Source organism: Homo sapiens, chromosome 2 (assembly GCF_000001405.40).
Source record: "Homo sapiens chromosome 2, GRCh38.p14 Primary Assembly".
Lineage (NCBI taxonomy): Eukaryota > Metazoa > Chordata > Mammalia > Primates > Hominidae > Homo > Homo sapiens.
The window spans coordinates 71,585,916-71,609,231 of record NC_000002.12 but is presented as its reverse complement, the minus strand read 5'-3'; the positions used below and the strand labels follow the sequence as shown (position 1 = coordinate 71,609,231).

The 23,316-nt window shown below is 54.7% G+C and overlaps 1 protein-coding gene across 14 annotated transcripts in view, besides 9 other annotated features; it reads right to left on the bottom strand.

Moving 5' to 3' along the window:
• DYSF (dysferlin) overlaps positions 1-23,316 on the bottom strand; it is a 233,203-nt gene that overhangs the window by 77,532 nt on the left and 132,355 nt on the right. For all 14 annotated transcript variants that reach the window (NM_001130979.2, NM_001130981.2, NM_001130980.2 and 11 more), the window contains 6 exons: positions 19,546-19,639; positions 18,944-19,021; positions 10,487-10,668; positions 8,390-8,530; positions 7,704-7,733; positions 6,427-6,456 (listed from right to left, as the gene is read on the bottom strand). In NM_001130979.2, the coding sequence (NP_001124451.1) occupies positions 6,427-6,456; positions 7,704-7,733; positions 8,390-8,530; positions 10,487-10,668; positions 18,944-19,021; positions 19,546-19,639 (555 nt within the window). The remainder of the gene's footprint in view (positions 1-6,426; positions 6,457-7,703; positions 7,734-8,389; positions 8,531-10,486; positions 10,669-18,943; positions 19,022-19,545; positions 19,640-23,316) is intronic.
• Positions 5,139-5,433: a silencer, noted in NCBI's record as "tiled region #1514; K562 Repressive non-DNase unmatched - State 13:Ctcf". NCBI's record gives its function as "represses a minimal TATA promoter and a strong SV40 promoter by Sharpr-MPRA in K562 cells {active_cell/tissue: K562}" and the evidence as "EXISTENCE:reporter gene assay evidence [ECO:0000049][PMID:27701403]".
• Positions 5,139-6,531: a biological region, named in NCBI's record as "CDK7 strongly-dependent group 2 enhancer GRCh37_chr2:71829831-71831030".
• Positions 5,332-6,531: an enhancer, noted in NCBI's record as "CDK7 strongly-dependent group 2 enhancer chr2:71829831-71831030 (GRCh37/hg19 assembly coordinates)". NCBI's record gives its function as "activates an origin of replication core promoter dependent on BRD2, BRD4, P300/CBP, MED14 and CDK7 cofactors, with strong dependence on CDK7, by STARR-seq in HCT116 cells {active_cell/tissue: HCT116}" and the evidence as "EXISTENCE:reporter gene assay evidence [ECO:0000049][PMID:35650434]".
• Positions 10,210-10,709: an enhancer, noted in NCBI's record as "H3K4me1 hESC enhancer chr2:71825653-71826152 (GRCh37/hg19 assembly coordinates)". NCBI's record gives its function as "activates a minimal SCP1, AML or CMV promoter by ChIP-STARR-seq in primed H9 embryonic stem cells {active_cell/tissue: H9 hESC(primed)}" and the evidence as "EXISTENCE:reporter gene assay evidence [ECO:0000049][PMID:30033119]".
• Positions 10,710-11,211: an enhancer, noted in NCBI's record as "H3K4me1 hESC enhancer chr2:71825151-71825652 (GRCh37/hg19 assembly coordinates)". NCBI's record gives its function as "activates a minimal SCP1, AML or CMV promoter by ChIP-STARR-seq in primed H9 embryonic stem cells {active_cell/tissue: H9 hESC(primed)}" and the evidence as "EXISTENCE:reporter gene assay evidence [ECO:0000049][PMID:30033119]".
• Positions 14,656-15,155: an enhancer, noted in NCBI's record as "H3K4me1 hESC enhancer chr2:71821207-71821706 (GRCh37/hg19 assembly coordinates)". NCBI's record gives its function as "activates a minimal SCP1, AML or CMV promoter by ChIP-STARR-seq in naive H9 embryonic stem cells {active_cell/tissue: H9 hESC(naive)}" and the evidence as "EXISTENCE:reporter gene assay evidence [ECO:0000049][PMID:30033119]".
• Positions 20,222-20,802: an enhancer, noted in NCBI's record as "H3K4me1 hESC enhancer chr2:71815560-71816140 (GRCh37/hg19 assembly coordinates)". NCBI's record gives its function as "activates a minimal SCP1, AML or CMV promoter by ChIP-STARR-seq in primed H9 embryonic stem cells {active_cell/tissue: H9 hESC(primed)}" and the evidence as "EXISTENCE:reporter gene assay evidence [ECO:0000049][PMID:30033119]".
• Positions 21,839-22,347: an enhancer, noted in NCBI's record as "H3K4me1 hESC enhancer chr2:71814015-71814523 (GRCh37/hg19 assembly coordinates)". NCBI's record gives its function as "activates a minimal SCP1, AML or CMV promoter by ChIP-STARR-seq in primed H9 embryonic stem cells {active_cell/tissue: H9 hESC(primed)}" and the evidence as "EXISTENCE:reporter gene assay evidence [ECO:0000049][PMID:30033119]".
• Positions 22,348-22,856: an enhancer, noted in NCBI's record as "H3K4me1 hESC enhancer chr2:71813506-71814014 (GRCh37/hg19 assembly coordinates)". NCBI's record gives its function as "activates a minimal SCP1, AML or CMV promoter by ChIP-STARR-seq in primed H9 embryonic stem cells {active_cell/tissue: H9 hESC(primed)}" and the evidence as "EXISTENCE:reporter gene assay evidence [ECO:0000049][PMID:30033119]".

Here is a 23,316-nt window from a genome sequence, read left to right as displayed (position 1 = left end):
CTCCAGGGGCTGCTATGCATGTCACAGTCCACATGAAAGGTGCCCTTGGAGGATGGAGGCAGGGCCTACACAGCTTCTGCAGTGACCTGGCTGCTATGGGGACCCCCAGTTTGATGTCCTCCCTGGGCACTCCAAGGCCACCAGCTGCAGGTGGCAGCACAGCAGGGTGTCCTCTTTAAAGACAGGGTTGCACTTGAATGCCTGCTTGTGGTCTGTTCATGGCCCCTTATGGCTATGCCCAACCCAATATGGACCCAGAGCCAAAAACCCAAGACAAAGAGGGGCCAAAAAAAAAAACCATCAGGGAGGGAACAGCCCCAGGATCCCCTGAGTGGAGTGGCAGAAAGACCAATCTTTCTCATACACTTGTTCTCTTAAAATCACTAAGGAAAACTCATGAATACATTCCTCCCAGAATATTTCCTCTCTAGGCCCCCAAACGCTGGGCAGTATCCACTTTATCCCTCATTTCCTCGGTCTGTCCCTCGGGGCTCCCTCGAGCTCCGTGGTGATGACATTCCTCTCTAAAGGCTGGGGACCAGGCTCCGCATCTTCAGGAGCCTGCTTGCTGAGGACAGGGGAACAAGAACCTGGAGAAGGTTAAGCTCCAATACCGTTTGGAGAAGGCCCTGGAGGAAGAAGGCAGGAGCACACAGCTGCGGAGCGTCGGGCCCAGCGGAGGCAGAAGGAAGAGACAGGCAGAGACAGTGGTTAGAGGTGTGTCCAGGCAGCTTCCTCAGCATGAGGCCACAGCATGCATCCCAAGGCCATCTCTGTCCACCGTGCTGTCCCCAGGGGTCCCAGGACATGCTTCTTCCCTGCCATTTCCTGCCACCTCCCAGGGTTGCCTGCCTCTGTGGCTCCCCCTCTGACCATGCGTCCAAATGCTCCTCCCCAATTTTTCACACTATCTCCTGGATCTGCTCCTTCCCAATTTAAAGACATCCCCATCTCCCAAATCCACCCGCGCCCTCCTCTCTGCAGGCTCCCTCCTCTCCTCTCTCTAATCCTGTCTCCATCCACTACCTCTCCTCCCTCATGTCCACACCACCTGCTTCCCAGTGCACCCTGCTTCTGCCCTCAGCACCCCTCCCCGGAAATTTGTCTCCAGAGTCCCCTACCCGAAGGACACTCGTGGGCTCTTCTCTCTCTCACCCCCTCAGCAGCATCTGGCCAGCTAACCTCATCTCCTTCCCAAACAGTCTCTCTGGATCCACACTGCTGGCCCTCACCCTGTTTGCTGAGCCTCCTCTGCAGCCTTCCCATCTTCCTCCACCAAGCCCTGATCTGCTCCTTAGCCCTCTCCTAGACTTTCTGCTCCCAAACATCTCTGCTAAGCCCCAATATCTTACTGCTTAGTTCATTAATGTGTCCTACTGGCCTCTCACACTGAACTTGTCCAAAACTGGATTCTTCATCTTCCCCCTCAGAACCTGCTCTCTTCAAGTCTGACCCCACCATCTAGACAACCAAGCCAAAAGCTCCCACGCCACCCTTGGCTCCTCCTGCCCCTCATCGCCCTGCCTGACTGATCACCAAACACTGGTAATCCTGTCTCCTGAACATCTCTCACGCCCGCCCACCCATCTCCTTTGCTCAGTGCAAGCCACTACCCTCTCTTGCCTGGATTCACCAGCATCCCCCTTTCACTTGGTTTTGACACCCTCTCCCAACAGCCCACGCGTTCTACAATCTGCAGCCAAGGCAGGCTTTCTAATAATGTCACTCTTTGTTTCAAGTCCTCCAATGTCTTCCCATCTGCTCAGGATGAAGTGCAGACTCTTCAAAGTAGCCTCCACAAGACCTCTAATCTTCCAGCTCCTGCTGCCTTCTCTGGGCATGTCTCTCATGAGATAAATTTCCCCTTGATGACCCCAAGTAGTGATGAACCACCTCCTGGGACACACGCAACCCCTGCCCTTCTGAATGCTAGCAGGTTGCAGGAGGCACCATGCTCTTTTAGCTTTGAGGCTTGGAGCTCAGTGGTCCCTCTGTCTGAAATGCACTTCTACCCCTACTCCTCCTGTACTTCCTATTCAGACAGCAGGTGTCCATTTAAATCTTTCCTGGTGCCCCAAGCTTAAGTACCCCCGTAGCTCCCATAGCAACTTACACTTATTCCCATAGAAAGACACATCAATCCATCACCCATGCTATCTCCACGTGTTCATTTGATTGTGTCCTTGGTTAAACCAGCAATTCTGTACACAGGGACCATAGCTGAATTCCCCCGTCCAACAAATAAATGATTATGAATGGATAACTGAAGGGGAAGAGGGAGGGTGAAGACAGAAGAGTGGGTGGATGGGAGGATAAAGGAATGAATCCAACACGCACTGTCCTCCTTCCTAGCACCCGTGCCTGCTCTAGCCTGACCCTGGGTCCTCCCCAGGCCTGCTCATTACTCCCTCTGGTTCAATGGGCTTTCTTTACTGCCAACTGAATCTAACCCATTTTTAGGGCCTAATTCAAGGTCTCTAGAAAATCTCCCCAAGACGCTCCAGAAACGTCTTATAACCTGACTCTGACTCTCTTAACCCCGTCTACATGACCCTTTCCCCACATACCCCATTCCTATGGTCCTAAGGGATCTCTGATCATCTCCCAGGCAGGAGTCCTGAGGTCTCTGCCAGCTCTTGAGCCTGGTTTTCAACTTTTTTTCTGGTCCAGCCCACTTGAGGGGCACAGCACCCCCTCTCCAGGACAGTAATTCTCAGTGAGGGTGCTGCGACCCTCACTGCAACTGGGAAGCCTCTCAGCACTGCTGGGCAGATGGGGTGTAGACTGAAAGTGCCACCAGAACATCCTGATTCACTGTCCTAGGGTTGATGGAGGACTCTGATAAGCCTAATCAGAGGAAGCCACATTTGACCAGCTCCCGTCTTGCTCCCTTCAAATGCAGGGCAGACCAGGGGCGGCTGCAGAGATGGGTTCTACAGGTGTGCAGAGTGTTGATCAAGCCAGCCCAGACCAAGAAGACCCCAAGAACAAGTGAAGCTCTCTCCCCTACCAGAGCTGAAGCCATCCTCAAGCCCACTTCAGTCTATCAGTCCCGCTGGCCAGTTTACCACGAAGAACCAAGGCCCTGAGCCATGAAAGGGGCACCCCCAGCCCAGTCTAGGGGCCACCATGTTAGACAGGAGTCGCTCCCAGGGCAAGGGAAGTGTTGGCAAGCCTCCTGCATCAGCCGGGTCATCAGTAGCCTATGGACCCTCACCTCACCCAGCAGAGGACAGAAGACGCTGCAGTCACATCCTGGTTCCTCGGGGAGCTCCAGGCAGGGGGCAGCCAGGCAGGCTGGGAGGGCTCCATTGTCTGCCTGCCCCACCCAGCTCGTTAGGAACAATATGTTGCTCTAATTACACTTCCCAGGAAAAACAGTGTTTTAAATTAAGGCCTTGGGGGAGGAATGGGGGATGGGGGACCACTGGCTTTATTTTCCTGATTGCAAAACACCAAATTTTTCCTTCCAGTGGACTTGGGGGTACAGGAGAGTACCCCGGGTACATCTTAGAGTAAAAGCCATATACCCTGCAGCCTGGATGGGTGGATGGAGTGGTATCTGGTGGCCCCCACCCCTGAACTGGCAGTAAAATCAGCCACAAAGCATACGATCCCTCCCACCAGGGCATCCCCTGCCCCAGCAGGAGAGCAGCAGCAGAAGCAAGGGTAATTCTCTAAACCACACCCCCTCCCCTCCCCACCTCCCCGAAATGGTCAGGATCACAAGCCCCATGGGTCTTCTTCTACACATGTTCTGTATCCTAGGGGGCCCTGGGCATTCAGGGACCCACGATCACCTCAGCTGCTGTGTGTGCGTGCATGTGTGTGCCCTCGAGAGTGTACACACTCGCACATGCTCACACGTGCATGCACACATTCTCCAGTTCTCAGGAAATCTAAAATTGCAGTTTCTTTGAACTCATTCCCCTTGGCAGCAAGGACTGCCTTTGTTCTCCAGACAAAAAGGAAAAGAAACCAGACAGAGGGCTCAGAAGAGGCGGGGAGAAGGAGGAAGCTGGGGCCAAGGAGCAAACAGGAAGAGTGAAACACGAAAGGAGAGTGGGAAGAGACTCAGGAAGAGAGGGAAAGACAAAGAAAATGCAGACCGGAGAGCGAAAAGGAAACCCTTCCCTCCATCTGCTCTGTCTGCGAGGACCCAGATCTCCCGGACATCATCAAAGCCTCAGACACACCATGCAACAGCCTCACTTCCTGACCAAGAGCTGCAGAGAGAGGTGTCCCAGATGGGCATAAAGCCTGGGAGAGGGGAAGTTTGTTGTCCAACAGGCCACATCCAGGAGGTGACATGCCCCCAGCCCAAGACACTGCTGCCTGGGCCACCTCCCCACATTTTCTACCAATCCCAACTTCAAAAGCTAGCTCAGTGGCACCTCTTCCAGGAAGTTACCCTCACTGTCCTGCTCTGGGAGCCTTCGACAAGGGCAGACAGTATTTCATCTCATTCACAGGCACTGTGGCTTGGAAATCTCTGCACCTGGCTGCGCTAGCTGAAAGGCACTTCCCACAAGAGAGGATATCCTTAAACCATCCTTCAGAGTCACTTGCCCCATCCGTTCCTACTGGCCTGTCTCCAGTCCAGGCCCCTATCTCAACTGGCTCAAGAGCCTCCTAGCTAGTCTCTCAAACCCACACCTCCTGCAGCCAGACAGCTCCCCAACACACCCATCTTCCCTCACTGCCCCCTGACTCTCATGGGCTCCCATGGCCAGGGGCTCAGGAGGAGGCTCCCAGCCCTCCAGAAAGGCTTGAGCACTCTTCACAGGGATCGGGCCAGGAGCCTGGGAGCAGCCAGATGGGAGATACAAGGCAGGAGCTTGGTCACAGCAAAGAAGACAGAAACACCCTGCTGCGGTCCTACTTACAGGAGGACCAGTGGCAACAGAAGGACCACCCAGCCCTGGGGCTTCTTAAAGCGAAGAGGACTCAGCATCTTGGCATCAGGCTTAGCCTTCAAGTGAGAAGGACATGGGCTGAGCTAGGGGTCCCAGGGCTATCCCCTGGGACTGAGGGAGGTCACAAGGTCATCTTCTGGGGCTGGTCCCTGGACCAGCAGATCATTCATCCCACTGGGATAGGTCCTCCTTGGACCCTTTGAACCTGCTGGCCTGGCCCAGCCCTGTGCCTAGCACACTCCTAGGACTTGCTCTCCCCTGGCCCTGCTGACCCACACCCACCCTCAGCCTGCAGCCTGCTTGGCCCTGCAGGGGGCACTCGGTGCTCTTCGGGCTCTGGCCCATGAGCTGCAGTTTTGATTTGCTTTCTGACGAGACTGCAGCCAGATCCCTGCCCTCGGAATCTGAGCCTTCACTGTTACATATTACGAATCCAGTTATTAAGGATTTTAACTTTTTTTTTAATAACTCATCCCTGGGCTGGGTCTTCTTCAGAGCAGGCTGTGGGTTTTGGCCACAAAGTGCACTCAATCAACAGAGAGGGCTCCGTGCTGCTTCCCTGGACAGGACTCCACCTCCCTTTCCAAATCGGCAGTCTTTTGCAACTGCAGCCAGAAGCAGGAGGCCGCCTGTCAGGCGCAATTACAGCGAGCTCACTTGGCGGACCCCACCTCGGTCTGGGAGCAAAAGGAAGTGAGGTAAGGGGTGCGGGGCCTGTGGATCCCACATCCTGACTCTGCACTTCAAGTCCAAATTACACTGAAAATGTCAAATAGTGTCCGCTGTCGGTCTGGGGATTCCCTAATGGCAGGAAGTGGCTGCCCTTTTCCCAACGCCTCATCTGACCAGGGCTCTCCTTCCTGTCTCTCCACCCAGGTCTCTGCCACCCACCCTCTGGCCTGGCTCACGACAATCCACCCACAGATGCACAGGAGGCCATAGGGAACGTGCATCTCTCCTCCCATGGCAAAGGATGCAGCCTTGCTTTATCTAAATGCAAACTCTAAACTTCTTCCCGTCCCTAGGAGGTCCCCAGCTCGCCCCATCCCCCAAACCAGCCAGGACCCAAACTGGTCCTTGGCCTTTTGAGCCAAAGCCATGTTTCTCACTTTCTTCCTAAGTGCTGATGGGCATAAAGACATTTGACTAATGCCACCTCCACCAGAAAGGCTTCCTTGACTACTCTGGCCCCTTCCAAACAATTTATTCTTCAAAATGTGCCACCTGGTACTTAATCATTTAAGAATCTGTATTGCTATTCATGTTGTCTGGGTGAAATCTGGCCTCCTAGCAGGACAGCAAGCCTTCTTAGACCAGGATCACCCCCAGGACACACTCTGGGCAGCCCTGAATCCACACACAGCATGGGGAATAAAATCCAGACAGGTCTCCATGTGACAGATGCCTGCTGGGCACCAGGAACCTGGAAGGCTCCAGGTGTGTGCTTGAAGGCTGGCTTCACCTTCCCTCTACCTCGGCCCACCCATCCCAACCACCACGCCCAGCTCACCTCATCCAGGATCCTTGATGTCTCCTGCACCTGGCCCACAGCCATGGGATGTGGCACATCCAGGAGATGGTGAGAGGGGTTGGAAGGGGAAAAAGTTCTCTATTAGTATCAAGGCGCACTAGGCGGGGCCAGAGGTCAGCATGCCAGATGCCACCACTAAGAGGAGCCAACAGAAACCACCTCCCACCAAGGGTAAGAATGATGCACTTCCCAGCCACGCCCCTAAAGTGGTCCCTGGGAAAGAAGGTGTGATGGATGTCAGTGCAGAGGGACGCTGGGAAAGGCTAAAGCATAAGCCTGGACGCCAGGAATCTCTGGAAGCAACAAAAGGAAAGAGAAGAGCAGCAGGTGATGGGAAGGGCTTGGGAGCCTGTGGCCTTGGCAAGCTGAGGAGAACCAACCTAGAACCCCCAGGAGCGGGCAGCACTGAGAGCAGGAGCTTAGGACAGGGAGGGAGAGCTGGAGGGGCAGGGCTGGTGAAGGAGGGCTTGCATGAAGGGAGGGCCTCCCAAGAACTCTCTAAAAATTGTGTGGGCTGCCTTGTGAAGGACAATGGAGGTGTCCAAACACAGCCCAGATGACTACTTCTCATAGATGCAGCTGAACTTGGCATGTAATCAGGTAATGCATCCAGTGCACCTGGGTACCAGTCAAAGCTCAACATTTTCTACCAAGACCTCCAGAAGAAGGAAGGAGAGCAGCAGTAAGGGAATGAAGCCCCCGTCCAGGAAGAGGAAAGAAAATGAGGTCTTGGTAAGAACAATTCAGTGGGAAATGTGGTCTGAATCAGGGCTTCTGAAACTCGTGCATGTGTGAGAAGGCCCTGGAGGGCAAGTTGATACAGAGGTTGCTGGGCTGCCCTCAGAATTGCTTCAGTGGGCTTGAAGTAGGACTCAAGAATGGGCCACACTTTCAGAACCCTGGGGCTAAGTCAGTGATTCTCAGTCCTGGATGTGCATTAAGATTCCCTGGGCAGTGCTGTCCCGGAGATTCTAATGCTCAGCCAGCTGAAAGCCACTGGGCTGGACAATTATGAGGATCCTTCCATCTGGGATTCTGTGGTTCTTGGACTTCGCAGAGAAGGGCAGCAAAGGCCTGAGCTTGGCAGAGACTTTGAGCTCCCTCCAGCCCGGGCCCTCCTCTGCTTGAAAGAGCTTCCCCGGGGGCTTGAGGCAGGATCGCGGTAATGCCTGGCCACCCTTCCTAACCCAGAGAGATGCCAAACACAGGGAGACTGGCAATCAGTTTGAAGAAGGAAAGGTCAGAGCAAGACTTACCTCAAAACCAGGAATATGGTGGATGGCCGGCTGGAGTGAAGAAAAGAGAGCTCTGGTCATGTGCTTGTCACCTAAGGCCCCCATCACCCTCATGACACTCATGGACTATGTCAGTGATCAGACAGTCCATGGTTTGCAGCCTCTATTCCTTGAGGGTAGAAGGGATGCTAGGCTGGCACTGTGCCCATTCCTCCAGACACTTCACCCAGAGCAGCCCTACTCCTATTCAGTCTACTTATTCGGGTTCACATCATACTAAGAGGAAGTTTGAAGGTACAGGTCCAACCCAAACCTCTCATTTTACAGCAGGGGAGTGGCTGGCCCAGGGCCATGAGGCTAGGTCATGGTGAAGCCAGCAATGCAACGGGGATCCTGCCCTTGCCTGTCCCTGGAGTCCCTCACATTGTGGCAATTAAGGCTCCCTTAATCAGACCACAGAGGTCCTCCTCCCAGAAACCACGTCAGGAGATGACCCAAGGAAGATTAAATCCAGTGACCAGAGGACTCAGACATTCCTGATCCCCAAATTCTATTCCGATGTTAGATGGTGTCCTGACTTAGGGTTCAGAAAATGGGTCTCAGCAGGAGGCCTGGCTTCAGAGGAGGTGTTCCAGGCTCCCACAGAGGGTTGGCCCCCACCCCACTCCTGCCTGGGCCTCCTGGATCTGGATATAGACCAGCCTCACCTTCTCTCTCTGGATGAGCTCAAAAGAGGCCAGCAGCTCCCCCGACGGCTGGCTGCCCCTCGTCAGTGGGAACCAGGCCAGCCGTGGCATCCGTTCCAGACTCGGTTGACAGATGCAGCGACCCATAAACTCGTCTGCACCCTAGACCAAGCGTAGAGAGACAAGAATCAGCATCCCTTACCCAGGGCTCTAGGGAGCCTCAGAGAGATCAGGTCTACATGTGCCTTCTGAACTAGAAAGGGCCTCAGTAGTAAGGGCACCCCCTCCCACAGAATGGTGAATTCTGCTCTCCTTAGCAGGACTCAAGGACAAAACAAGCTGTGAGCAGCCTGTGGTGACTGTCACTAGGTTTGAATTCCCATCATGGTCGGGAAGTCCCTCTGGACAGTTCAACACTGTCCAACTAGTGTTTGCCCTGCTACAATTTAATCAGCGCTAAGACTATTGGAGACCAGAGAGACGGCCTCCTGGCATTTCTCTAATGCGCTCAGCAGTACAGGTTTTTGCAGTTCCAGGGACTTCTGTATCTCCTGCTCATTTCACCCTTAAATTCCCACCCACTTTGCAAATGGGGAAACTGTGATCACGTTCATCAAATTAAATGAGCCTGGACAAAATGATGTTTTCATCAAGGCAGGTGCCTTTTCTTCAGGCACTTTCCTTAACTCCCTGCCGCCCAGAAGACAGATCTGTCACACTGGATGCAGGGGCAAGCCCCCTCAGGGCTCTGGCAGCCTGCAGCTCATACCGCTGCCCTCCCGCCCTGTTCTGCACTTGCACTCAGTCCTGCCGAGTCCCCCCGAGAAGTGCCAGCCCTGCCGCCTGCCTCCCTCCTGCTCCGAAGGTGCCAGGGCCTGTGCCCTTCTCCAAACAGTCCCACATGGACTCTTCCTCCAGTTGCTCATTCCTTCCCATGGTACCAGCTTTTCCTTCCAAGCACCCCAACGTTGCATCCCCAGCCCAGGCCAGCTTACCCATGGCCAGCTGCCCCTGCCATCTGGTGAGGCATATAGACAGCAGCACCTTCCCCCACCCCTGTTCACCACACCCACCCAGGGAACCTGATGTCTGGTCAGGGCAACTCTTACTGACAATGTCTTCCAAACCCAGCCCCTCCCCTTTCATCCCACCGCCACCTCCAGCGCAGGCCGGGCCTCTTTACCTTGCGCCCAGTGGATCTCTTCCGGCAGCATCCAGCCTCCTCTTCGGAAAATGCTGCCCTGACGTCAGCACTCTCCTGCTCCCCTGGCCTCATACTCCCTTCTCCTCCTTCCAGGCCTCTGCCTCGCACTGACACCCCAACCCCACATTTCCTCCAGGGCCTGGGTCTTTCCCAAAGGCTTTCCTGACATTCCAGCCCATAGCACTCTCTCCCTCCTGGGAGCCTCCTAGAGCTGCTCTGTCCAATACAGGAGCACCAGCCACCTGCAGCTATTTAAATTTTAATTTTACTTCGTTAAAATGAAATAAAATTTACAATTTCATTTCTCAGCTGCACCAGTCCCATTTCCAGTGCTGGGCAGCCTCGTGCAGCTAGAGGCTCCCTTTTTGGACAGCACAGCCCTAGAGCTCGCCTGTCACCACAGGAGGTCCTGTGGGACAGTTGTGGTAAGAGGCCCTGCCTGTGGCACAGAGTTGAGAGGCACTCGGGGACCCGTGCTCTCACATGGAGGATTCTCCACTGTGTGGGTGTCTGGGCTCCCACCTAAACAAGGAACCCCAAGTGAAGGGCCACTCAGCCAGTAACGTAAGTGTTTGATGTACATTTAAGGATTCCACGCAGCTCCTCGATGAGAAGAAGGGACTGGCCTGGGATCACACAGGCGAGGCAGAGGCAGAGAAAACCCAAGCCCCTGACCCACAACCAAGCGCCTTTTCCGGATATGTTCCCTTCCACTGATGAGCAATGTCTGCTGTGGGAACGGCATCTGTGCTAGCAATCCATTTTTAATGACTCTAAAATTATTTTAATTGTTCTAGGGCCCGTGGAGTTAGGAGAGCACCCATCTGGCTGGGCAGCCACGAGTCCCTGGAGACCCCACCTTTGCACATGGTCCCTCCCTGTGAGGGGACGAGGCAGGAGCTGGGCAGACTCACATAAGTGTCATGGTCGTACAGCTCCACCACAATGCTGGGCGGTTGCTCAGCAACTGTGGCCGGCTCGCCAAAGATCTCGATCTCGTAGAAGATGAGCGTCTGGTCCCAGGTGGGGTTAAGGGTGTTCTTCACCACCACCGTCTTCTGGCTCTGGTGCAGGAAGGAGACGATGGCATAGGGATCTGCATGGGCCGGAGAGGGGGAGGGGAGACAGGACACAGCAGGGACCCTGAGAGATGTCTTCTCCAGAGCCATGTGGGGCCACAAAGCTGGAGCAGGGTTGTGGCTGCCACTCTGGAGCAACAACATTCATGCTGGGATGCATCTTCCCTATGGGGCTCTCCTAGCCCCACCATGAGGCCAGCTGGAGGCCACGGTGGGGACATGGAGCCTGGGTCCTGGCAAATGGGCACAAGATCCAGAGAGCATCCCCTTTTCTGCCGCTTCCTGAGCTGTGGCTGCTGGAAGCAGGGTCCAGCTGGGGGAAGTGAGTGCCTGTATGGTATATTCATCTATTCATTCATTCATCCAGCAAGCATGTATTGAGTGCCTTCTTTATGCCAGGCTAGGTGCTAGGTGCTAGGGGCTGAGAATACAATTTGAACTAAATATAAAATATCCACACAAGCTAACGTAAAATTACAATTTGGGTCAGAGCCTTGAAGAATAGACATAAAATGCAGTGAAATGTGTTAGGGAGGGATCTGGCTTCCTTGAGGAAGGGGAAGCAGAGCAGAGCTGCTGGTGTCTGTGAGCTCTGGGATGCCACCAGACTGACGTGGCTAGGTCTGCGTTTCAGCAAGCTCACTCTGGCTGCCACATGGAGAACAGACTGGAGGGAGCATGAGGTCTAGGGAGACCAGTTCTGAGGTCACTGCAGTGGTCCAGGGAGGAATAATGGTGGCTTAGATGGGTGTGGGGTGCTAAAGGGAAGTGCACAGACTCAGCAGCTATTTAGCAGTAGGGGTGTGCGAGAAACCCAAAGGCCCCTGCAGCTCCCTGCTACCCCCAAACTCCTTTCCAGCCTGCCAGCCTTGGCCACGCCACCCTGGGACCCAGCCACAACTCATTCCCTCTACCTTGTCCCAAAGGCAAGTTGGTGTCACTAGAGCAGACTCTAGGGCAGTGGTTCTGAAAATGTGAGCATGCTGCAGGATCATCTGGAAGGTTCATTCAGGCTGCTGGGTGCTGCCCCCAGAGACTCGGATTCAGCAGGGCCGGGGTGGGCTGGAGAATGTGCATTTCTAACAAGTTCCTAAAAGTGATGCTCATGCTGCCTTCTGGGACCACATTTTGGAAACCAATGCAGGAGAGGGTCTGAGTGCATATAACTTGGGAGAGGAACACAGGGCTTGGAGAAGGGGACTCCCTTCAGCTTCTCCTAATGGGATGTCACCTTGAGGGCTGAACCCAGTGCCTAACCATGCACTCAATACCCTTGGCACCCTACTCCATCCTGCAATGGCCTGTGCCCTCTGAGCCCCACAGTCCAGCCCTAGCACTGCCATTCACTCCCCTTGTGACCTCAAGAGGGCCTCAGTGGCCTCAGAGGTAATGGCCTCTGTGTCGCTGGCCTCAGAAGGATGCAGGTTCAAACACAACCCAGGGGCTGGGATGGGGAGACAGGGCTTCCGCACAAAGGGGAGAAGAGCAAGACAGGCTCCCTGGCCACAAGAAGACCAAATGGGACACCATGGCCACTGCACAGGTGGCAGAGAAAGGGGCTGGCAAGGAGTGACCAGGAAAGAGGTGGGAAGGTTGGGGTGGGCAATGGCAGGAAACCCATCAAGGGATGGAGAGAGCAGGATCCAAGGTTGTACCTGTTGCCCAAAGAGCTGATTTTAAGAGCAGGAGGTATCTAAGTTAAGGGGCGGACTCAGCCATGGCCACCCACTGGCTGAGCAATGCTGGGTCTGGTTAATAGAAGGCAGCCACCAGCCTGGGATCAGCCTGACAGCCATCAGGCACAAATCATGGAGGACTTCCTGCAGGAAAATGGTTTTGAGCCTGATTCTGTGGAACAGAAGAGGGCAATGGGAGGCCCTTGGCAGGGGAAGGAGCCAGAGAGAACTGCCCACCCCTACCTGGTGGGAGCCTCTCTGGCATGGGGCTCTCCTTTCCATGCACTGGACCTGGCAGGGCCGGCCCTGAGCCCTTTCCGTCCTGCCCCTGGCAGGGCCCAGAGGCATCTGTGCATTTAATGAAACCGTCTGGCTGTGATACCATCAGCTCCAAGCTCGGCAGAGAACCTCTCCAGGTTCCAGTAAGGAAAGGAGGGCGCATTCCGATAAATAAAACCATATTAGAGAGCCAGCGAAAAAGCCCCTTTTGTTCCCGCCCCGCCCCGTGCTTCCCTACGCTTTATTTTTATAAGCATGCGGGCCCCAGACCGACCGCGTTTACACAAAGATCACAATTGCACATTGTAGCGGCTGTGCACGCTGTATTGGTGTTGGCAGCACCCCCCACGCTGGCCCCCGAGCAGGCTGACTCCTTCCAGCAGCCCCATCAGCCCAGGCAATGAGCTCAGCGCTGGGGGGAGAACGGGGAGGGGGTGGCTTTCAAACAAAAATCACCCAGACCTACACACGTGCCCCACCCGCCCATGGGAGGAAAAAACACACAACAAAGGCATTGTAAAGAGCAGGCCTGGAGGCCTGGGGCCTCAGACACTGGGCTACTGTGTGCAGGGGCCTGGCCTCTCCCTGCACGGGACCCCACTCCTCAAAAAAAAAAAAAAAAAGGAAAAAGGGGAGTAGGGGTGTTGCTAGAGCAAGGTGGTCAGATGAAGGACAGCCAGACACACTCACAGACAAATCCCTCTTCCAGGAAAGCTAAGAGGAGGGAGAGGCAGATTCCCAAAAAGCGGTGGAGGGGAAGGTGAGGGGCTGGGTTTTGCGTGTGCATCACAGCATAGGGCTCTCCCCAGGGCCACACCCACAAGCCATATGCAGCGCACATCGTGCCCTAGCTGAGGCAAGCACTTTGGATTGCAGCTCTGAGGACCACGGCTGCCCCAGGGAGGATCCAGCCATGAGCACACAAGGATTCTACCTCACTGCATCACCACAAGGGAGTCAGGGACCTATCACCAGGCCTCAGGCAGACGATTCCTTAGCTGGATCCAGAGCCCTGCACCAGGCTGTTCGGGCTGAGCCCTGCTGCTCCAACCTTCCTGGAGCTCCGGGGAGGACCTTCTGCGTTCACAATACACTAAGCTTTCCTCCTCGGCCTTCCCACCAACCACTCAGACCACCAGGGTCGGGGACAGAGTGGGAAGTATCACCCCAGTTTTCCTAAAAGGGAGCTTTCCCCAGGAAGACCAAGTCGCTCGGCCATGATCGTATGTACTAGACCCCCTGACTCCTAGTCCAGTGCTCCTTCCACCATGCCACCTCATAGGAAAGGGCCCTTCAGAGAGGGTGGGATCGCCTGCCAATAATCAAGGCAACGCAAATTAAAACTAGACTCCAGCAATATTTTTCCTATAAAATTAAGAAAAATTGTTCAAAATTATAAAAAGCCAGTATGGGCAAAGAGTTGATGAAATAGGTACTCTCCTTTATTGCTGGAAGCAATTCAGCAACCCTTCAGAAAAGCAATTGGGCACTATGCCCTGAAAAACATAAAACCATTTATACCCTTTTCCCATATTCCTGGGAGTCATCCAGATTCACCAAAAAGCTAGATGTATGTACAAAGACGTTCACTCTTGCGTTATTTGTATGCATCATTCACTATACAATTATTGATTGGCTATCCTGTGGGAGGTTAGCACAGTGCTAGGAATAGGAAGATGAATGAGACATAATCCAGGCTCTTAAGAGTGTGACTACTGGTTGGAAATTGTAACCTAAACAGGTATAATACAAGGTGATGTGCTACTTAATAGTGGAGTATACAGGGGCAGGGGTGAGGAGCACCTGATGTCGCCTGCTGGCACCAAGTCAGGCTTCCCAAAGCAGGCCTCAAGGATGAGGAGGTAGGCCGTGCAGACCAAGGAAAAGGGGGCATTCCAGGCGCAAGCATGGCAAGGGTAAACACACCAAAGACTTTAGGCACTTGGGGATCAGCAAGCCATTGGTCTGGCTGAGGGGATGAAGGGAGCACCAGGGCAGTGGGGACAGTGGAGGCAGGAGGGGAGGAGGGGCAGATCACAAATGGTCCTGGATTCCTGCTGAGCAATTTGGACGGAATCCTGTAGATCAGTGTTTCCCAAAATGTGTTCTTTGAGTGGTGGGTTTTCTGGGGAGCTAATGAGTGCTTAAACAGATTAAACAGGCTCCCTCCCTGCAGCCGCCTCAGAGCCTCTCATATGCCACTGTGCATTGTAAATCCCGAAGCGTGCAGTGTTTCCCAGTCTCTCTTACTCAGGAACCCTTTTTAAGTGGAGCATTTCACAAGCCTCCAATGCACTTTGGAAAACACCTCCTTAAGCTCGTCTGGTGGATTGCCCCAGCCAGAGCCAACCTTAACAAAAAGCTGTGCTTAAAAAGGGGTTGGGAAGGAAGACTGGAGTTCAGACTTGGGAAACCCAAAAGCAAGAAATCCCCAGCACCACCCAGGACTGAGTCTGAATCTGAGGGAAACTAAGGCACCGGTCATCAAGACGTGGCCCCAGCTGTGGGCAGCTCCGGCTCATCAAACCTCACTGCAGCCTGGTCTGGCAGGACCATCCCATAGGATCACCTACCTGGCCCACCACTGTGACCTTACCTGGAGCTGTAAGGCCAGCAAAGAGGGCACAGGACCTTCTACTTTCTTGAGAGGTACTCACCCCTGTAAATTAATAAATGACGTGGCATCTGGTCTATCAGCCATCTCTCATTGGCTCAGTTAGCCAAGTTGGACCGCCTGAGCCCAGTGACCTGGGAGGGCCTCAAAGAGGGATTTCTGGGCCCCTCCTAAGCTGAGGGTCATCCCTTGGAATGGAACGTGGTGACCTCATGATAGAGCTGCCTGAGGGTCCTCCATCTGGGCGGGCAGCTCTACAAGCAGAGCTTATGATCCCTCCAACCACAACAGCAGTTCTTAGCTGGCAGAGGGGGCCAAATTGACACCTTCTTCCCTGGTTCCCTGTGAGAAACACCAATCTACAATGAAGAGTAACTCAGCTCAGGCTACCGTTCAGGGAAGCAATGCTACCCACTCCACACCAAAGGGGTGGGCAGGACGGAGCTAGGTGTGGTGTTGGTGACGTGTTCTAAGTCCTCTCAAGTCATAGCCTTTCATTTCAAAGCAAACCCAGTACATACAACAGATGTTCACAAAGCAGTGGGAACCCCACCCCAACAACAAAAAGAAGTCATTGAACTGGCCGGGCACAGTGGCTCACGCCTGTAATCCCAGCACTCCGGGAGGCCAAGGCGGGTGAATCGCCTGAGGTCAGGAGTTCAAGACCAGCCTGGCCAACAAGGGGAAATCTCATCTCTACTAATACAAAAAATTAGCTGGGCATGGTGGTGGGTGCCTGTAATCCTAGCTACTTGGGAGGCTGAGGCTGGAGAATCACTTGAACCTGGGAGGCGGAGGTTGCAGTGAGCCAAGATAGCGCCATTGCACTCCAGCCTAGGCAACAAGAGCGAAACTCTGTCTCAAAAAAAAAAAAAAAAAAAAAAAAGAAGTCACTGAATTAAGTATCACTTTATGTTTTTTATGACTAATTGCTGCACAGGGCACACACATTAATAAACACACAAGCACATACCACAGATGCCCTTCCACTGGTCCAGAGAATTGATATCCCAGCCATACACTCAAACCCCACCTAAGGTGCAACCCTCAGGCCGTCTGGATGGCAATATCTCTAGGACAGCCTCCCTCTCCCAAGTTCAATATTATTCAACAAGTGTTTTCTGGGCAACCCCTGCCTATCTCCTCAAATATTCGACCAGGGAGAAGGAGCAGCCATGGCCCCAATGTCCGGGCAGCCCCGAGACCCACCATATAGAGAGAAGCAAAGAGCACAGCAGAGGGCTGTAGGAGCCCCCGGGGAAAGGCCCAGAGAGCCACAGGTCAGAGGCACTGGGAGAGTGGTTCAAGGAGGGCCCTCTCTGCCCCAGACACCCGGCAGGCAGCTGGAAGCTGCACCAGTGACAGACACTGTGCCAGGCCCTCCCCTGGCCCCAGACATTCCGGATTCACACATGAGTTTCCTCAGAGAAATGCCAGCCGGTGGCCATGCACAGCCTCCGGCCGCCAGCCGCCCCAGGGTCAGTTCCAGGGGAGAAATTGCTTTGGTTTAGGGTTTGGGAGTGAAAATAAACACTCTGGGTTTTATAGGTTCACCCATGTTGGCTGCTGTTTTCCTTTCCAGCAGCTGCTCAATCGGGCCTTTCATTCAGAAGCCAGTGGCCTCTGAGGAAGCCCTGGGCAGTGCCCTCAAAGCTCAAGGGATGTTTATTTGGGGGAGGGGGTGGGGCCAGGATGGAAAGTGTGACGTCTCCGCAGACCAGTGCCACTGCCCTACCAATGCCGTCTCCAGAGGGGAGCATAGGCTCCCAGTGCTGGGCCCTTGGAGGAGTTCCCTCCCCTCTCTGCAGGGTGCTCGGCCCGCAGGGCCCACAGAGGACAAGGGGGCTTCTGCCTGGGCCCCCCCTGGCCATCCCCCTCTCACAAACCCGCTCCCGGCACCCTCACCTCTCACGCCCTTCCGGGAAGGGAGAGGAAGCAAGGCTATAAACTCGTCCATGTCCTTTTTCTCAGAGTAAGTTCTAATCGTCAGACTCCTGGACAAGTTTCCCAGGACAAGTTAGCCACTGCAGATGCCTGTCTGGCCTGGGCCTGTAAATTCTGGCGGGTTGCTGCTATATACACTTGCAGAGGGAGCTCTCAGGACCCTGGCCCCAAAGCAAAACGGGGTAGAACTTCCTCATCCACCCCGCACCTGGCTGCACAGAGCTGGAGGATGGGCCACTGAGGGCCACAGCTGCTGGAGAGAAGGACACAGACTGGACCCCACATCGCGGAGGAGAGTGGACCAGCAAGGAAGCCGGCAGATGGCCATCAGCTGCAGAGCCCTGCTGTGACCAGGAAGTCACTCCCATGGAACTCAGTTCTACTCAACCAAACAGCAGGCACTCAGACAGTGATAGCCTTGGGTTCCCTTCCAAGCTCTGTCACTTGGTAGCTATTTTAATGCAAGCATTTAGTTAACCTATCCGAGTATCTGTCTCTTCACCTATAAAATGGGGATGTTGACCACCTACTTCACAGGGCAATTGTAAGGGTTACATGAAATAGTGTCAGCAAAACGCCTGGGCACATAGTGAGCACTCAGCAAGTGTTTGTTCTTTAGCCATCAAGTGCTGCAGGTTCAAAGTAAGACGAGACCATTTCCTGGGGGAGCTCATGGTCAGAGCAGGAAGGAGATGGCAGAGATAGACCACTGTTGATCTGTGCAGAGGGGAAGGCCTCTGAGGGAGGTGCTGGTAAGGCACTGGCCAAGTGCTGAGGGAAGGAGCAAACAGCTTGGCTTGGGGAAGTCAGAGGGCATCTGGGCTGGGTCTTGAAGGATAACTAGGAGTTTGCTGGTTAGAAATAGGGAGCAAATGTGTTCTAGACAGAGAGCGCACTGAGTGCAAAGGCCAGACATGGGCAACGTGGACAGAGTTGGTGGGGCTGGAGCTACTGGATAGAGGGCAATGAGCAAAAGGTGAACCAGGTGAGGACCACAGGGTTACATCACAAGGGACTTGTCTGCTGTGCTGAGTTGGAGGTTATCTGTCAGTGTCTATACTTGAAATCAGGGGAGGGATGTGACCAGGTGTGTCTGGGGCAGTGTGGAAGGTGCCAGGGAGATCAGAAGATAACCAGAATGACCTAGATACAAAGGGGCAAGGCCAGTGTCAGATGGCAGTGTGACATTAAAGAGGAGGGAACAGATCTGAGAGGGATTCAGGAGGTAGAATCCTCAGGACTGGGTGACTGAGAATTTCCAGCCTGGGTAACAGATGGCTGCCAACCCCAGGGCCATGGCAGGAAATGCAGAGGCAGCCTGGATCTGGGTGGGGGGAGCTGGGGAGCAAGGTCACATGGAGGTTTGCACAGGATGAACTGAGGTGAGTGAAGGTGGAGAAGTTGGGGGACCCCGGTGCCCAGAGAGAGGACACAGACAAGACTTCTTGGAGCATCAGGCTTATAGGGCAATGAAGCATCAAGGAGGAGCAGGTCAGGGAGGAGGCTGCAGGGACCCTCCAGAGACTGGCGGCTAGAGCCAAGGCCAAGGGGCTTTCAGGAAAGAGGGGACAGTCAGCGAAGCCTGATCCTACCAAGAAGACCAGCAGGCCATGGACAAGAGTTTGCTGCACCTGACGACCAAGAAGCCACAGGACCCTGGTGACAGCACCCATCTCCATGCACCCAGCAAACAGCACCCCTTGTTGCCCGAAAGCCAGATGTCTCCATTCCCAGATCTCAGCCCACAGTCTCTGACTCTCCTGCCTCTCTCCCACCTACCAGAAAAAGAGTCCTTGTCCATCGCAGCCAGGTCCCGGGCCTGGTACATGTAGCAGCGTAGATGGTAGCGGTTCCCATCTTCACCAAGGGAAAAAACAGAGGTGCCAGAGTGAGTGGCTGGAGTGGTTAAGAGCTGGGGCTCGGGGGGAGGTGGAGTCTGTCCCTAGAAAGGGCAGCAGACAGAGGGGCTGAATGAGGGAAACCACACAGGCCACTGTGCGAGGTCAGGAGAACAGACCACAGCTTGAAAGCGGACACCTGACTAATTAACATGTCCTTGGGCCAGCCTAGGGCTGGGGAGAAGAGATAGAGGAAGAGGGGAGGAGGGGAGGCCAAATAGACAATGGGACAGCCACAGAGCGCAGGGCCTTAAATGCCTGATCTCAGATTTGAGTGGGTGGACACACCACACAGATAGGCACGGACACGTGCACGCACGCGCGCACACACACACACATACACACAGCACTGACCCACCAAAAAGCACAGAGACTCAGCTCCCCAGAGCCCCACATACACATCTGATCGTATAACTCCATCCAAACAGAAGCATAAGGTGACACACCCTTATCACCCCATAGAGGCCTCGAAGCCTCACTTACAGTCGAATATGCAGGAAATCGTGGGTCTGTTCACACCGAAGCTCAAGGTGGAGACGGACATGGAATCTTCACTCTTGTCATCCATCACGCCGCCCTGGAGACACGAAGCTGGTTATGGCAGATTCTGCCCCCAGGCCTGGGGGTGGCAGGGAGACTAGCCCAGAGAGTTAGATCCCCAGGGCCAGGAGATCTCTCCGCTGCCGAAAGCTGAACTCTCAGCCTCTAATTTCATTCTGGGGAGCTCAACCTCTCCTAAAAAATCACCAGACTCCAATGTCAAAGCACCAAAGGACTGTAGGAAATTCTTCTCCCTCTCTAGTGAAGACCAGATGAGTCAGAACGGAATTTTTAGTTGTTCCAGGCAAAGAGATTAGAAGGAATGACCCGAAGGGGCTCTCCAGGGGAGAATCAAATGGGGATCTGCCCACTAGGGACAAGTCCAGTGGAATCGAAATGTGGAGGTTCCAGGCTAGCATCTCTGGGTCCCCATCTCTGCCACCCCCTGCTAACATCGAGCTGGGTCCCAAGCTCTGGAGGAAGCTGCACCACACACCCACCATCTCTCACCAGTTCCCACTCTGCTGAGGGTGAGCAAGGCTCAGGCTGAGGACAGAGGTGGGGACAGGAGTGGGTGGACAGTCAGGCTCGGAAGCCAAGCTGTCTGTTTACTGTGTATAAAGCTAGATGGTCAGCCCTGCCACCTCGCCCTCATTAGCACTGGGCTCCAACCACTGAGCCACAAACCACTTTGGGGAGCACCAAGACTGGACCACTTCCCTGGGCCAGACACCCAGCTCTCCGATGCACTTCCTCAGCCCAGGGCCAGAAGCCCAAGCCACAGCCTACAGAGGGACTGGGGAGAGTCGGTGGCCGTTACTAGACACCCCGTGCTGTCTGCTCCCTCTGCACTCACTCAAATTTCTCCATGTGCCTCTCTCCTCTCCCTCCTGCCCACTACCCAAACTGTCGCCTGCTCCATTTCAGAGGGGTGGGGTTAAGTAATAAAACGGTCTCTACTCCACTTCCTTGTTCAGTCCCACATCTCACAAACGTGTACACACCCTTGAAAGAAAACCCTGGCCTCTTCCTCAGACGGCCCATTCATCCCACCCAGAGTGGCCAGTTCCCAGGATTCTTCTGCTGGGCCACCCTGACCTTCACCCTGGAACCATTTCCCAAGAATTTCAACCTCTCCCCAGGCTCTGAAGCTACAAAGCCCCCCAGTGCCTCCAACACAAGACACCACTGCCACTACTGTGCCCCTGCTCTCCAAACCATGCCCACCCTCAAGACTCAGTCCCAGAGCCCCTTGTCCAAGAAGCCTCCCTAGACACCTGTTCTCCCACCTCTGGCCAGCCATCCCCAAGCCAAAACCAGCTTCATCACCCTCGGTCACTATGCAGCTCCTCGGCCTGAATCCTTCGGTGGCCTGAAAGGTCCAGTCCAGCCTTCTCCCATTCAGACCCCCAGTGACCCGCCCTATCTTTCCCCATCCGACACCAAGGCTTTCTTCCCCCAAACCCGGCCCTTGGCTTCAGGCAAACCACGCTCCTTAAAGCTGTCCCAGACACACTCACTCCCATAGCAAGCTTATGCTGTTCCACAGCCAGAGGTGCCGTCAACCATCCCAGGCCTCCCCGTCTTCAGATCATCTTAGGACACCTAAGCAAAGCCTGCCCTGGTCACTCTGGGTCAAAAAGGAATTGCATCCTAAGGTAGGCTGGGTCTTCCTCTGCTCCCTTGCTGCAAAGGGCCTGCAAAACACACACTTGGGAAAGGCTGAGTCCCTCTATTCTCCCAGGGGACTCTCCAAGGTCCTGCTATCCCTGGGTGGGCTCTGACTTCCACCACAGGACATCCTCATTTCTGACAGGGAGATGCCTGGACTCTCCTCTTCCTTTGGCCACAACTTCAACATGGGCTCTGAAACCAGATTCCTCGGGCTCCAGTTCTGGCCCTGCTGTTTACTACTGGCTGTGTGACTTTGGGCAAGTGGCTTAACTTCTCTGAATCAATCACTTTATAAATTTGGGATAATTATACAGTATCTATTTTAGAGAGTTGCTTTGATTATTAAAGAAGATACAGAAGATGTAGTTCTTAGCACACTTCCTGGTTCACAGTAAATGCTCAAGAAATGTTAGCTATCAATGACCTTACGAGGGAAGGCACAGGGCTTGGGGAGGGGGCGTGTCATAAACTATAAAGTTTGTCATGTGCTGGGAGTGGTGTTCACATCACTCATATTTGTTGAAAATGATTCCAAGGTGTAAAAGTGGACATTTCAGTAAGAATCAAGCAAACCAGCAAGAGCCTCTCCCAGTGCCTCCAGGCAGTGGTGGTTTGTACATGGAGTTTCTTTCCCCCTCTCTCGCTCTCTCTCACGGACCCAAAGGCCTGAAATCCTCCCTCGTGAACAGGTATGGAAGCCCTGGGCCCCTGCCAGGAGAGGCGTTTGGCCTGGCCCTGCAGCGCTGGCAACCCACTGGAGGGAGCACCAAGCCCAGCCCTGAATGACCACAGAACACCCCCCTGGCTGCAGGGTGTGCAACACCAAACGCAAAGCAAACCTGGAGGCCCAGCAGGCCTCTTAGACTTGGGAGGCAGGGACACTAAGGAAAGCTGGTTAGGACGCTGGAAATAGGGCTTGGCCAGCCCGCAGGTGCAACAGTGCGTGATGCCTGCATCTCAGCACCTCTAGCTGCTGGGGCACCGGTAAGGGGTGGGAGCAGTGGGAGTAGGGAGGATAGGGGGTGGACTCAGCTGCAGGCAGGTGGGATGGACTCTGTGGTCCGTCTACCTCAGTCCGGCCACACACATGTGCCCCACCCGCAGGTAGGGGGCTAGGGTGAGCATAGGGAGGGAGGCGCCTCCGGCTCCAGGGCCCCATCCTTCCTCTCTCCCTCCCAGCGCCTGCAGGGACCTCCCTGCTCGCGGATGGCTGCCAGTGCTCATCCCCACTCACCAGGCACCTCCTCTAGATGGCCCCCCTCACTGGGCCCCTGTCAGCACCACTCCCAAGGCCTCTGTCTGAGGTTCTGGCAGCACGTTCTGGGTCTCTGTCCAAGGGCAGGGCCTCCTGCCTGCAATCAGAAGCAGCATCTCCCTCCTTGGGATTTCCATGTGGACCTCACTGAGTCCCTGGCCCTGCAAGTGACTGTCCTGCAGGGGGAGGAACCAACGCTCCCACTGAGAATGCCCCTCATACTGCCTGGGTTCCAAAACCTGACCTGGCTCCAGAGGAGGGGCCCAGCCACACCACACCTGGTCCAGGGGCCTGCTGCCCACCCTCACCCCATCTGCCACCCAAGTGCTGACCTTCTCCCTCTACCTCAGGGAGACAGATGGGGATTTTTAGGAAGAAGTATTACTGGGGCACCAGGGGAGACACACCCCCCAGAGCCAGGCTGAGGGAAGCCACTAAGCTCAGTCCCTCTTTGTACCACCCTGATTCACAATCCGGGCAAACTTCCACCCACACGCCTGGCCAACATCCTTATATCCTCTGGTCCACTGGCCCTCCCAGGGGAGACTGGGCTCTCCATACATCCCCATTAGACCCTGGGAGCAGAGGGAAGGCCACCCCTCCCTCCTGGCCTGCTGTGGCCTCTAAATTGAGTCTCTGGCAGTCAGGACACTACCAAACCCACAGACCCCCAAACCCCTACACCCCCTACCTGCTCACACCAGCTGCAACACTCTGAGGTCTCCTTTCTTGCCCCCAGGCCCTTGCCCCATGTGTCCCCTGACGTTTCTGTGCAGTCTTATCAT